The sequence below is a fragment of the Homo sapiens genome, chromosome 1, assembly GCF_000001405.40.
Source record: "Homo sapiens chromosome 1, GRCh38.p14 Primary Assembly".
NCBI lineage: Eukaryota > Metazoa > Chordata > Mammalia > Primates > Hominidae > Homo > Homo sapiens.
This window is the reverse complement of record NC_000001.11, coordinates 2,586,488-2,598,515: the sequence shown is the minus strand read 5'-3', so window position 1 is coordinate 2,598,515 and position 12,028 is coordinate 2,586,488. Positions and strand designations below refer to the sequence as shown.

The 12,028-nt window shown below is 64.7% G+C and overlaps 2 protein-coding genes across 13 annotated transcripts in view, besides 1 other annotated feature; one reads left to right on the top strand and one right to left on the bottom strand.

The window, feature by feature from the left end:
* The window catches only part of MMEL1 (membrane metalloendopeptidase like 1), a 42,378-nt gene extending 34,501 nt beyond the window's left edge, over nucleotides 1-7,877 (top strand). Inside the window, exons 13-24 of the mRNA NM_033467.4 lie at nucleotides 216-309; nucleotides 1,827-1,955; nucleotides 2,409-2,507; nucleotides 3,157-3,240; nucleotides 3,623-3,726; nucleotides 4,073-4,131; nucleotides 4,583-4,702; nucleotides 5,550-5,683; nucleotides 5,796-5,861; nucleotides 6,489-6,584; nucleotides 6,883-6,959; nucleotides 7,427-7,877. Of these exons, the coding sequence (NP_258428.2) occupies nucleotides 216-309; nucleotides 1,827-1,955; nucleotides 2,409-2,507; nucleotides 3,157-3,240; nucleotides 3,623-3,726; nucleotides 4,073-4,131; nucleotides 4,583-4,702; nucleotides 5,550-5,683; nucleotides 5,796-5,861; nucleotides 6,489-6,584; nucleotides 6,883-6,959; nucleotides 7,427-7,526 (1,162 nt within the window). The 3' untranslated portion in view covers nucleotides 7,527-7,877. The remainder of the gene's footprint in view (nucleotides 1-215; nucleotides 310-1,826; nucleotides 1,956-2,408; nucleotides 2,508-3,156; nucleotides 3,241-3,622; nucleotides 3,727-4,072; nucleotides 4,132-4,582; nucleotides 4,703-5,549; nucleotides 5,684-5,795; nucleotides 5,862-6,488; nucleotides 6,585-6,882; nucleotides 6,960-7,426) is intronic.
* PRXL2B (peroxiredoxin like 2B) lies at nucleotides 7,048-11,993 on the bottom strand. 12 transcript variants are annotated; one of them, NR_036637.2, is made up of 7 exons: nucleotides 11,925-11,993; nucleotides 11,221-11,425; nucleotides 10,724-10,775; nucleotides 10,063-10,126; nucleotides 9,891-9,966; nucleotides 9,476-9,594; nucleotides 7,048-9,106 (listed from the first exon to the last, which is right to left on the bottom strand). NR_036637.2 is itself a non-coding variant. In XM_047445405.1 (7 exons), exons 1-7 carry the CDS (start codon nucleotides 11,718-11,720, stop codon nucleotides 9,037-9,039), a joined length of 813 nt encoding a protein of 270 aa, XP_047301361.1. In that variant the 5' UTR covers nucleotides 11,721-11,739; the 3' UTR covers nucleotides 7,048-9,036. The 12 variants fall into 12 exon arrangements, 10 of the variants coding, with proteins under 10 accessions (XP_047301361.1, XP_011538967.1, NP_001182665.4 ...); NR_036638.2 differs by having other exon boundaries at nucleotides 9,476-9,562; XM_047445405.1 differs by lacking the exon at nucleotides 11,925-11,993 and adding an exon at nucleotides 11,568-11,739 and having other exon boundaries at nucleotides 9,891-9,986; nucleotides 10,063-10,180.
* Nucleotides 10,299-10,931: an enhancer, noted in NCBI's record as "H3K4me1 hESC enhancer chr1:2519024-2519656 (GRCh37/hg19 assembly coordinates)". NCBI's record gives its function as "activates a minimal SCP1, AML or CMV promoter by ChIP-STARR-seq in primed H9 embryonic stem cells {active_cell/tissue: H9 hESC(primed)}" and the evidence as "EXISTENCE:reporter gene assay evidence [ECO:0000049][PMID:30033119]".
* Nucleotides 11,994-12,028: the final 35 nt, after the last annotated feature.

Below are 12,028 nucleotides of genomic sequence, written 5' to 3'. Positions count from 1 at the left end.
TTTAGTGGCCAGTGGAGTCTTACATTAAAAATGTGTCACATCCCAAGCACCCGGGGCAGATGGGCTGGATCTTGGAGGTGGTTGTCCTGGAGGTTTTCTCCAGCACCCATAACTCTCTGGGGTGGAACGTGCTGGCCAAGGGCCCTAAGCCATATCTCCTCCCTTGCAAAGACCTCTCACCTGTTCTCCCCTCACCCTCTACCTTCTGCCCCCAGGACCATACAGAACTACCTGGTCTGGCGCCTGGTGCTGGACCGCATTGGTAGCCTAAGCCAGAGATTCAAGGACACACGAGTGAACTACCGCAAGGTGAGCCCCTTCCCTGCCCAGAGCCTGGCCGGGCACTCATTCATTCAGGCCACGATGCTGAGCATAAGCTGTAGGCAAACACCGAGGTCCACACCAGGGTCACAGCCATGGACGAGGCAGGGCGAGGCGCCCACCCCAGTGGGGAGTGGACCATGACAGTCAACAAGGCAGAACGTAGCTCTGCCAAAACCGCAGAGTATGATGTGGCGGGGAGGCAGGGAGGGACGAGGACAGGGAGCACTGCTCCGGGGAGGCGACATTTGAGACCTTAAAGGCCTGAAGAGGCGGCGGGGTGATTTCCCGGGAGCAGAAACAGCCAGTGCCAGTGCAGAGGCCAGAGGCAGGAGCAGGCAGGGGCCGGACCCGTGGTCAGCAGCGGACAGGAAGGAGAAGATGGCAGGGAGGGAGGCGAGGTGACCACGGGCCACAGCAGCCGGTTTGGATTGTACTCCCTGTCTGAAAGCCGCAGGGGTGCTAAGAGCAGAGACGCGGTCAGATATGCTGCTCCTGTAGTCACTGTGGCTGCTCCAGGGCTGGGGTGAGGGTGGAGACAAGGAACCGCAGGGAGGCCCTAGGGGGATTCTGGCTGTTCTGGGGAGAGTGAGTTGAGTAGGGGGCGGGGTCAGCATGGAGGCCGATGTGGTCACCCAGGTGAGGTGACAGGCTTGGCCATGGTGCTGGCAGACACACAGACGCAGGGGAGGTGTTGACCGCAGCAGCTGAGGGATTGGGTATAGGGGCTAAGGGCAGAGGGGAGTCGGGACTCTCAAGACCTTTGTTAGAGTAATGGGAGGGACAGAGGTCCCCACTGCAATGGGGAGACTGAGGCAGAGGCAAGCTGGGGGCAAGTCAAGCCTCCTGTTGCCATGGGGGGGTAGGTCAGAGACATCTGTGAGTCAAGCGTCAGGGGGGCACTGAGTCTAGGAGCTTTGGGGAGGAAGAAAGGGCTGCCTCCCTTTCCTAAAGGGCAGGAAGTCCTGCAGCCCAGAAGGTGTGGCAGGACGCTGGGCAGAGTGCTCCCTGGGCTTTGCCTGAGTCTGGGGCCCAGAGTCTCGTGCTCCTGTGTCCCTGGGGACAGATGAGCAGGTGTTCTCACAGCTGCTTCAACAATGGAGAGACCAGGGCCCTGGGAGCTGGTGGCTGAGAGGGACGTGGTCCCAGGCCTTGCTCTGGGGTCAGCGCCAGCCCTGTGCCTTGAGACTGGGGCTGGAGTCCTGGAGAGCAGAGTCCAGCCAGACAACCAGGACAGGGGCCGGGGAGGAACCCCCCCAACTCCTCAGGGTAAAGGCCCAGCTCTCAGTCTGCGGAAGTTCCCCAATCACAATACCATGCCCATCCTTCCCCCCGCCGCAGCAGCACCCAGAGGTGAGGCTGAGATCATCCCGTGCCCCCGCTAGCCCCGGGGCACCCTGAGGCTGAGGATAGGTGGGTCTGCTCACCCCGTAAGCCCAGGGCCCCACGCCAGGCCTGGGAAGGCTGACGTGGGGGCCCGTGGGATGATCGGGTGGCCCCACCAGGCGCTGTTTGGCACAATGGTGGAGGAGGTGCGCTGGCGTGAATGTGTGGGCTACGTCAACAGCAACATGGAGAACGCCGTGGGCTCCCTCTACGTCAGGGAGGCGTTCCCTGGAGACAGCAAGAGCATGGTGGGCGCCCCTCATCCATGGCCCACGCGGGGCCAGCCTTCCACAGGGACACCGAGCCTCCCTGCCCTGAGACTCCCACCCCGCCCAGGCTCAGGGGCACCTGCCCCAGCTCACCAGACAGAGGGAGGCTAAGGGAAGCCGTGCCCACCCCATGCCCCTGACCCCAGCCGGCCACTGGGCCCCAGCCTGAGCCCTGCAGGTCCAGCTGGGAAAGGCACAGGTGGTACAAGTTGCCCCTGGCCCACGAGGACCCACAGCCCAGCAGGGAGGACCCTGAAGTTGGGTTGTCATCTCATCCCCCCACCGGCCCCACACCTCACCTGAGAGGCCCACAGCTGGGCAGCCCTGGGCCTTGCCCCGGCGGGGCTCAGACCAGACCTCCCCAAAGCCCTTGAGGCTGGTCATTCGCCCTCCAGATGAGTCTGGGACACGAGGGCCATGCCCGATTCCCAGGTCAGAGAACTCATTGACAAGGTGCGGACAGTGTTTGTGGAGACGCTGGACGAGCTGGGCTGGATGGACGAGGAGTCCAAGAAGAAGGCGCAGGAGAAGGTATGTGGCTCGCAGAGGTCAGGGCAGCCCCGACTGGATCTGGGCACGGGCAGCACCGCCCCGACAAAGCCTCCTGACGGTCCCCACGGGGAGAAGGCAGCCCCGGGAGGCGCAGACAGGACCCCACGGGGAGAAGGCAGCCCCGGGAGGCGCAGACAGGACCCCACGGGGAGAAGGCAGCCCCGGGAGGCGCAGACAGGACCACTCGCCCACTGTGGAGCTGAGGAAAAGCAGGCAGGGGCAGGAACCAGGCCTGGGACATCCCCAGCACCCCCCATGAGCCAGCGGGGGTAGCGGTGGCCTCGGGAGCAAGGGTCAGACCCACCAGAAGCTCCTCTGGACCCAAGTGACAGACGGCAGCCGAGTGACCCCTCCAGGGCCCCTGCCCCCACCCGGACCCCTGGCGGGCTGTTGGGCTCTAGGTCAGGTGGGCGGAGCCTTCCATATTCTGTCCCCATTAAACCTCCCCAGAGCCTGCAAGGTGGGGGCCAGATCCCGGAGCCCCCCAGCCCCTCACCACAGGACAGGGAGAGCACAGCCAGGATGCCCCGGGCTGACCCCTCCCACAGTGTGGCACTCACTGACCGGCCCCCGGGCTGACTCCATCCGCAGTGGGGCACCCACTGACCAGTCCCTCCTCCCCACTCAGGCCATGAGCATCCGGGAGCAGATCGGGCACCCTGACTACATCCTGGAGGAGATGAACAGGCGCCTGGACGAGGAGTACTCCAATGTGCGCCCCCAACCCCAGCCCTAAACTGCCCCCCACACCGTGGACATGGGCCCTGATTGCCTGGGGGCTCCTCTGTGCCAAGCTCTGTGCCCTCCTCCCAGGCGCTAACACAGCTGTCCTCACCGTGCCCTAGGGTGGTGGCTCCAGCACTACCCTCAGTGTACAGATGGGGAAACTGAGGCCTGGAGGGACGAGGGACTTGCTCAGAGTCATGTAAATGCCCACAGCCAGGGCTGCCCCGTTCACCTGCACCCACAGCCGACTGTCCACGTGCGGACGCCTGGCAAGGCTTGAGGTCCTTCCCCAACCACCCAGGACCTCTCCCCTTGCTCCTCTGAGGGCCCGGCCCCAGCATCTGGCAGTGACTGCCCCTCTCCCGTAGCTGAACTTCTCAGAGGACCTGTACTTTGAGAACAGTCTGCAGAACCTCAAGGTGGGCGCCCAGCGGAGCCTCAGGAAGCTTCGGGAAAAGGTGGACCCAAATCTGTGAGTGGCATCGCTGGTGCGGCATGGGCGGGGGGGGCCAGGGAGTGGCCAGTAAGGCGTGCAGGGCTGCCTGCCAGGCGGGGGACTGGATGCGTGGCTGGGGTCCAGTGCCAGCTGAGGGGTGCAGTCACTGGGCCTATCTTGGACAGAGTCCCCCATCACCCTCTGCTTTCTGGGGCCCAAGTCGCCTCCTCCTCAGGGACCCCAGGAAGGAACCAGATCTTGGGATAGGCCTGGGCCCTTGCTCTGGTGTGGCCAGGGTAGGCCCTGGTCCATCAAGGCAGAGAGAGCCCAGAGGGAGGGTCCCCGGAGAGGCGGCTCCCAGAGACCGGCTTGTCTATCACAGCTGGATCATCGGGGCGGCGGTGGTCAATGCGTTCTACTCCCCAAACCGAAACCAGATTGGTAAGTTCCTCCCCCTCCCTGCCTGCCCAGGCCCTTTGGTGCCAGAGTTGAAGGGGTGGCTTGCAGCCCCCTGCCCATCCCTTCCTCCTGGGGGCACCCCAGCCTGTTCTTGGAACATTCTCCTATGTCACCCCTTGCTGCCCCCGTGGGGAACACTCACTCCCGTGCCCATGAGCGGCTTCGGGAGGGACTTGGCAGGCGGCCCAGAGCCTTTCCTGCAGGCAGAACAGGATGGTGGGAGGAGGCCGGACTGAGGTCCTGGGTCTGCCAGGCACGAGCCCGCCCAGCCTCTGAACCTCCGTGTCTTCATCTGTAAATTGAGGGAATCCTGACCTCTGCCTCCCGGTCTGTGGGATCAAGTGTCAGAACCCCTGGCAGCGCCATCCCTGAGCCTGGCACACAGGAGATGTGTCCACTCACAGCTTATTCTTTGTCCCGCCCTTGGGGACAGTATTCCCTGCCGGGATCCTCCAGCCCCCCTTCTTCAGCAAGGAGCAGCCACAGGCCTTGAACTTTGGAGGCATTGGGATGGTGATCGGGCACGAGATCACGCACGGCTTTGACGACAATGGTGAGCGGCCGCCCCTCCAATCACACACGCCCTCCCCTCTCCGCGGAGAAGCAGCCAGGAAGGGGCCTGGGGGCGCTCCATTCAACCCCTTCACGGTTTCAGTGGGGACACCGAGGCCAGGTCCTCAGGGAGCTGTGGGGGCAGAGCAGGCTTTGAATGCCAGGCTGGGGCCCTGTCTGGGGGCACTGACTCCCAGCATGGAGGAGGGGACCCAGGGACTCCAGCCCATGACCCTGACTCCACCTGGCACTGGGCACTTCCCTCCCACGGCCTGTGACATGGGGACGACAACACTGCCCAATACAGCAGCGAAGCCCAGATCCCAGCCTGGGAGACTCTCCAGACGGCCAGCATCCTCCACCGGGGGGTGTGCTACCCCCGCCATGGCCATGCTGACCTCCGCCCCTCGGTGGGGACTGCCCTGCCTGGGACAGGGGCCCCAGCTGGTTTTCCCCTGTGGCTCGGCCATCCGGACCTTCCGTGGGCAGTCCTTGTCCCCAGGGACCACGTACTCCTCTCGCCTGGAACTTAGAGTTTGGGCATCCCAGGAGGAGCCCTTAAACCATGATGCCTCCAAGACCACAGGACCCAGGTGCTAGGCCCTAGCCTCAGGGGGTGGCATGGGAGACCACTGAAGCCCTCCTTCTCTGGGGGCTGTGTAGCCCCAGACAGCTGCTGCCCCTTGGAGCCCGCGATGCTCTTCCAGGCTCAGCCTACTCAGACTGTGGGCTCTCCGTACTGGGGCTGGCTGCAGGAGGGGCAGGAGCGGCCAGGCACAGTGGCTGCCGTGGGGCCAGGCACAGTGCAGCCAGGGGCATGTGGGCAGCCCTCCTCTGCCCCTGCCCAGGCCGGAACTTCGACAAGAATGGCAACATGATGGATTGGTGGAGTAACTTCTCCACCCAGCACTTCCGGGAGCAGTCAGAGTGCATGATCTACCAGTACGGCAACTACTCCTGGGACCTGGCAGACGAACAGAACGTGAGCGCTGCCACCAGCACCCAGGCTGCGGGGGTACCGGAGCCCCAGCCCTGGCCCTGAGGGAGAGGGAAGTCAGGGCCGGGGCTGCCCCAATCCTGTCTCCTGTGCGCAGGTGAACGGATTCAACACCCTTGGGGAAAACATTGCTGACAACGGAGGGGTGCGGCAAGCCTATAAGGTGGGGCCTGGCAGGGGAGGGGGCGTCAGCGCGGCAGGGGAGGGGGCGTCAGCGCGGCAGGGGAGGGGGTGCCAGTGCATCAGGGGAGGGGGCGCCAGCACGGCAGGGGAGGGGGCATCAGCGCGGCAGGGGAGGGGGCGTCAGCGCGGCAGGGGAGGGGGCGTCAGCGCGGCAGGGGAGGGGGCGCCAGCACGGCAGGGGAGGGGGCGTCAGCATGGCAGGGGAGGGGGCGCCAGTGCATCAGGGGAGGGGGCATCAGCGCGGCAGGGGAGGGGGTGCCAGCACAGCAGGGGAGGGGGCGTCAGCATGGCAGGGGAGGGGGGGCATCAGCGCTGCAGGGGAGGGGGGCACCAGTGCCTCAGGGGAGGGGGCGTCAGGGGCTCATTCGGGACAGGTGGTGTGCAGTGGGCTGTCTGGCCAGGGATCCCCCCCCGAGGGCCCAGCTCAGGGGTCCCTGAGTGACTGAGGTGGTGAGCGCTCATCCGTGGGGTGTGTGAAGGGCCCTTGCAGCAGCAGGACCCCCACAGGGGTAGGTCCTGGAGCCAGACCTCTGCTCTGCCCTGAGATCTGAGGGTTCTGGAGTCCAGGCTGGCAGGCCTGAGCTCAGCTCCTGTCTGGTGCCTGCAGGCCTACCTCAAGTGGATGGCAGAGGGTGGCAAGGACCAGCAGCTGCCCGGCCTGGATCTCACCCATGAGCAGCTCTTCTTCATCAACTATGCCCAGGTGGCAGCCGCAGTCCTGGTCCCACCATCCCCATGCTTCCCCACTCATCTCTGGAGGGCCCACTCTGGGGCACCTCCAGGGACCAGAGCCCAGCATGGAAGGCCCCTTGGGGGAAAAGCATGAGGGGCAGGGGGCGGGAGCTGGACAGGATTTCAATGCTGATGGGAGGAGGGGAGCACCTGCTGACTCCCCTCACCCCACCCTAGAAGGGGCAGCCTGGGGATAGTGGAGACCCTCCCCCACCCCTCCTGGCCACCCCACCACGCCACCTGTAGCCACGCCCCCAACATGCCCACAGGTGTGGTGCGGGTCCTACCGGCCCGAGTTCGCCATCCAATCCATCAAGACAGACGTCCACAGTCCCCTGAAGTACAGGCAAGTCTCCCATGCTCACAACCCCCTTGCCACCCACAACCCCCTCACCCCCACCCCAGTGGCCTGTAAAAGAAGAAAGCACAAAAAGTGGCTCAACAGAGACAGGTTTATTTTGGGAATAAACCTGAGAGGGGCTTCTGGCCGATTTCGGTCAGGGACATTCTCTTACAGACTAAGGGCATTTAAGGGTTTAGGAAGGGGGAGCCTACCGCAGGCTGCGAATGTTTCTGTGTGAAGGAGAGTTTTATTGCAGAGTTGGAATATCTCTGGCTGGAGGGGAGGTTATTCTCAGGATTGGCATGTTTCTGGTCAGATGGGGGTTTATCTCATGGTTGAAATGTTTCTGCTCATACTGACATGAGCCATTAGGCTGATGTTTTGGGCTGGTTTTTAATCACGGAGAACTTAAAATGGCCATGTTTGTCCAAGATGGCAATGCTCCTGCTGTCACACCCACCCACCCACAGGGTACTGGGGTCGCTGCAGAACCTGGCCGCCTTCGCAGACACGTTCCACTGTGCCCGGGGCACCCCCATGCACCCCAAGGAGCGATGCCGCGTGTGGTAGCCAAGGCCCTGCCGCGCTGTGCGGCCCACGCCCACCCGCTGCTCGGAGGCATCTGTGCGAAGGTGCAGCTAGCGGCGACCCAGTGTACGTCCCGCCCCGGCCAACCATGCCAAGCCTGCCTGCCAGGCCTCTGCGCCTGGCCTAGGGTGCAGCCACCTGCCTGACACCCAGGGATGAGCAGTGTCCAGTGCAGTACCTGGACCGGAGCCCCCTCCACAGACACCCGCGGGGCTCAGTGCCCCCGTCACAGCTCTGTAGAGACAATCAACTGTGTCCTGCCCACCCTCCAAGGTGCATTGTCTTCCAGTATCTACAGCTTCAGACTTGAGCTAAGTAAATGCTTCAAAGAAATCAGAGGCCTTGCTTGTCTGGGAGGGACCAGGGTGGGTAAACAGGTAGCAGTGGTCTTGGGCAAAACAGCTGCCCGGGGGTGGGAGAGAGTGACAGCTGGGAGCTGATGGGGAGGGAGCCAGTTCCAGTCAGGTCTCCTAGGGTCCAATGCTAGGGCCAGCAGTGACCAGGATGCCCCCAAGTGCCCACCCCCAGGGACCACACATTCAGATGCGGGGAGCCCCACTGGGGCACCGGGGGACCCAGAGAGCTGCAGCTGGGAACCTGAAATTTTAGCTTGGTGTAACTGAAAGCCAGAGGAGGGGCTGAACGCAAAGGGACGCAGTGGGTCACCTGCTATGCATTTTTAAATGGCCACTGCAAGGGTGGCATTGGGGGCAGGAAGGGAGCCGGGAGACCCACAGGAACCCACAGTGGTCCCCAGGTCTGGACTAGGGAGTGCAGAGAGGGCTGCAGTTGTCATCGGCCTGCATGGGAGGGGAGGGCCTGAGCAGGTAGTCTGACCTGGGAGGTAAGGGGCTCTGCTCTGGGCCTGTTAGGGTCCCCAGGGAAAGGTGGCCAAGAAGCTGGACACACCTAATTAGACTAAGACCCTCCCGGGCCGGCCGCCCCAAAGGCCATACCCAGCAGGTGCAAACAATGATTCTGACATCAGTAAAGAGCCTTGGGGCAGGCTGGCCCATCACCTGAGAGTCTCCAGGGTCCACCCACCCCACCAGGTGGAATCAAGCCCATCTCTGCCCTGAAAACCCAACTCTCCTGAGTGGCCCCCACCAGACACAGGCACTGACCCCGACCCTGCTGGAGCTGACCCCACGCTCCTCTCCTGACGTGGGCTTGGGTCTGTCGCCTTTGAAGGGAGTGACGGGGCAGTGAGGTTACCATCCCCAGTGCCCCACAGGCCAAAGGCCCAAGGTCTCCAGAGAAAGTCGCAGAGCAGGAAGATGACACCTGGGACTCACAGCCACCCTGCCCGCCCTGAGGGCCCAACAGTGAGCAAGGCGGGGGCTGTGGAGGATGCAGGGCTCGGAGCCTGCGAAGCAGTGCGTGGTCAGGAACTGCAGTTTTAATGGCTCGTTGCTGCCGGCGGATCAGGAGAGGTTCGGCATCCCGACCCAGCGCCTCCGGAACAGTTCTTCCAAGTGGACTTCCAGCACACCTAGGGCAGCAGACGCCACCCAGATCCTCGGAGGCCAGGGCCTTCGCCTCCCTCACACCTCTCTGTCACACTGTGGGGACAGCAGGGTCCCATGGGGCCGCTGGACACTGGATCAGACAAATGCCTGGAGGGCCCCCTTGGACAATCCCCAGCCCTCCCAAGGCTGAGAGGACACGCCTCTCTGCCCGCCACCCCATGTGTCGCCCCCACCTCTGAGGACAGTCCCAAGGTGCCTGTCCATCCAGCCATGCTGCCCTTCGGCCCCTCTCAGCCTGCCCCACTCTGCAAGTGGGGTCACAGTGGCATCCATATCCCAGGGCACAATTGGCATGATGCCCACAGCGCTGTGGCTCAGCTCCCAGCCAAGCCGAGTGCTCCTCCCAGGGGACCTAGGGGCAGGGCGTGGGCTGGCAGGCAGCGCCCCCAAGGCCCAGCTCACCTGAGGCGGGTCGCTGGCACAGACCTCCGCAGAGATGCCCAGGACCTGCAGGATGTGCTCCTTGGGGACGTAGTCGCCTGGGGACTTCTGGACGAAATGCAGGAGCACTTTATCACCACCTGTAGCAGCGGGCAGGCAGTCACGGCACCCCGGAGGCCGCCTGCACCTCACAGCCACATACCAGGAGGAGGGAGGGTAGGGCAGCCCTGGCCAGCCATATCCCCCACCCGGCTACCCAGATGAGTGAGCTGTTCTGCCACAGCCCCACTCAGCCCAGCAGACACGCAGAACCAGGCCACATTGCGGCGGAGGGGCTGTGATGAGACTGACAAGCCAGAGAGAGGGCCTGGGCTGGGCCACCAAGTTCAGCAAGGCCCTCCTTGAGGCAGTGGCCGAGGCCCCTCCCTCGACCCACCTTTGCTGACCACCAGCAGCCCTCCGCTCTGCAGCAGGTCCCCAGACAAGTTCCCCTGGATGCCAACAGCCTTGGCCTGTCAGGAGTGGGTACAGCCTGAGTCAATCCTAGAAGAAAGGCTCCTGGGAGCTCCCACCACCCCCCGGCCTGTACACCCTTGACCCGCACACACCTTGGCAGCCACATCACGCACGGGCTTCCCCAGAGCTGCTGGGAGGATGCTCAGGCTGTTGTACCTGCGAAGACACCAGGTCGCTTGGCCAAACTCCGGAGAAGCCTGGGTCCAGAGCCTGCTCCAGTGTCCATGAGACCAGTTCCTAGGTCAGGCCCCACCCCACCCACCCGCCTCACCAGGGCTCAGAGATGGCACAGGCGACCAGATCAGTAGCCAGCCCAGCCCACCGGCAGGTTGGACACCGAGCCCAGTGGCTGCTAGCCGAGGGTCCACAGAGGGTGCAGGGAGCATGGATGGGGCCCCAGGCTGGGTGTGCCCAGGGATCTGGCTCAGCTGGCAACTGCCAAGCAAAGGAAGCAGCCTGTGGCACAGACACCAGAAAGCTAGGATGGCCCCTGATGGGCCACGAGGCTCCACCCCACGAGGTGGTCTGGACACCGAGAGTAAGCCCCGGACGAGGTGGCTCATTACAGTCACCCAGCACCCAAGAGAAGGCCTGGCAGAAGGGCTGGTCAACAGTGCCACCAGAGCCGCCTTGCCCAGGAAGGCCCGAGTGGACAGCACCACAGAGGGCAGCAGGGAGAGGAGGTGGCAGGGAGCGGTGGGAACCCCTGGGCCCCCCACCCCACGCTACCCAAGGGTTCCCGCCCCCACTCACCGCTTGAAGCCTAGCTCCTTGTAAAGCTGCTTGCTCTCATCCAGGTAGAGCTCTGGAAAGCGGAAGCCACATGTGTGTGCCCCAGGCGCAGAACCAGCCCCCAACCCACTCACCACAAAGAATCGCCCTCCTCCTTCCGACCCTCTGTTCCTCTGCCCACCCTCCGTGCTCAGCCCACCCCCGCAGGGCAGGGAGGGGTAAAACGGGGCTGAGTGTCCCCCCTCCCCTCAGAAGAGGGGCTGAGTCCCAGAGGCAACAGGTGGAGCCGGCGGGGCAGAGCTCGTCCAGACTCTGCTGCTGGGCCCAGGTCTGTGCAGGGCACCACCCAGCCACCAGCTGCGGGGCGGGGAGGCAGGGAGAGATGAGGGACGCTGACCCGTGGGCATATCAAGGCCGCTCCAGCAGACAGAAGGGCCGGGGTTGGGCAGGAAAGGGCCCCGAACGCCCTGAGCTTAGGGAAGGGTATGTGCGCCGCCGCGGCGGGGAACAGGACGCACCTCCCGCGAAGTAGTCGCCGTCCAGGAACTCCTGCAGACCCAGGGCCTCGGGCCCTACGCCCACCAGGCGCACGCCGTGTTGGTCCAGGAGCCCAGCAAGGCTGCTGAGGTCCTGGGCGATCCAGCGGCACACCACGCACCCGAAGCGCCGCAGCCCGGCCACCACGCACGCGTGCTCCCGCCACAGGCTCCGCAGCTCCACGGCCTGCCGGGCGGCTGGGTCATGGGCGCGCCCCGTTGCCCCCAGCCCCGCCCAGGCCCCGCGGCCCCCACCACCCCATCGCTGCCAGGACGCCCGGGCAAGGAGCCAGGGACGCGCCCACCGCCCTGCGTCCACCCGGCCTCACCTCCCCGGTCACCGCATGCTTCAGGATGCACGCGCCCACGCGAGCAAGGTCCACCGTGCTCATGGCGGCCGCTGCCAGCCCTGGTTCCCGGCTCCCCGACTCCCTGTTCCCCGCTCCCGGCTCCTCGCTCCTGGATCCCCGCTCCCGGCTCATAGATCCAGCCCCAAGCCCCGCCCCGAGATGCCCCGGTCCCGCCTTTCTTGCTGCCGCCGAGGCCCCGCCCCTTCGGGCTCGTCTCCGCCCCGGGCCCGCCCCCAAGATGGCCGCAGCGCGCCCCGGCCACGCCCCCGACCGCACCCCGAGCCCTGCTCCGCCCCCTCGGATTCGCCCCTAGTCCCGCCTTGTTTCCCCTCCTACTCCAGGCCAAGCCTCGAGATCGCGGCGCCAAATCCTGGGTCCGCCTGCTTCGGTCCCTCCCGCCTCCTCAATCCGGGCCTTGCGGGACAGTTGCTGTCCCGCGT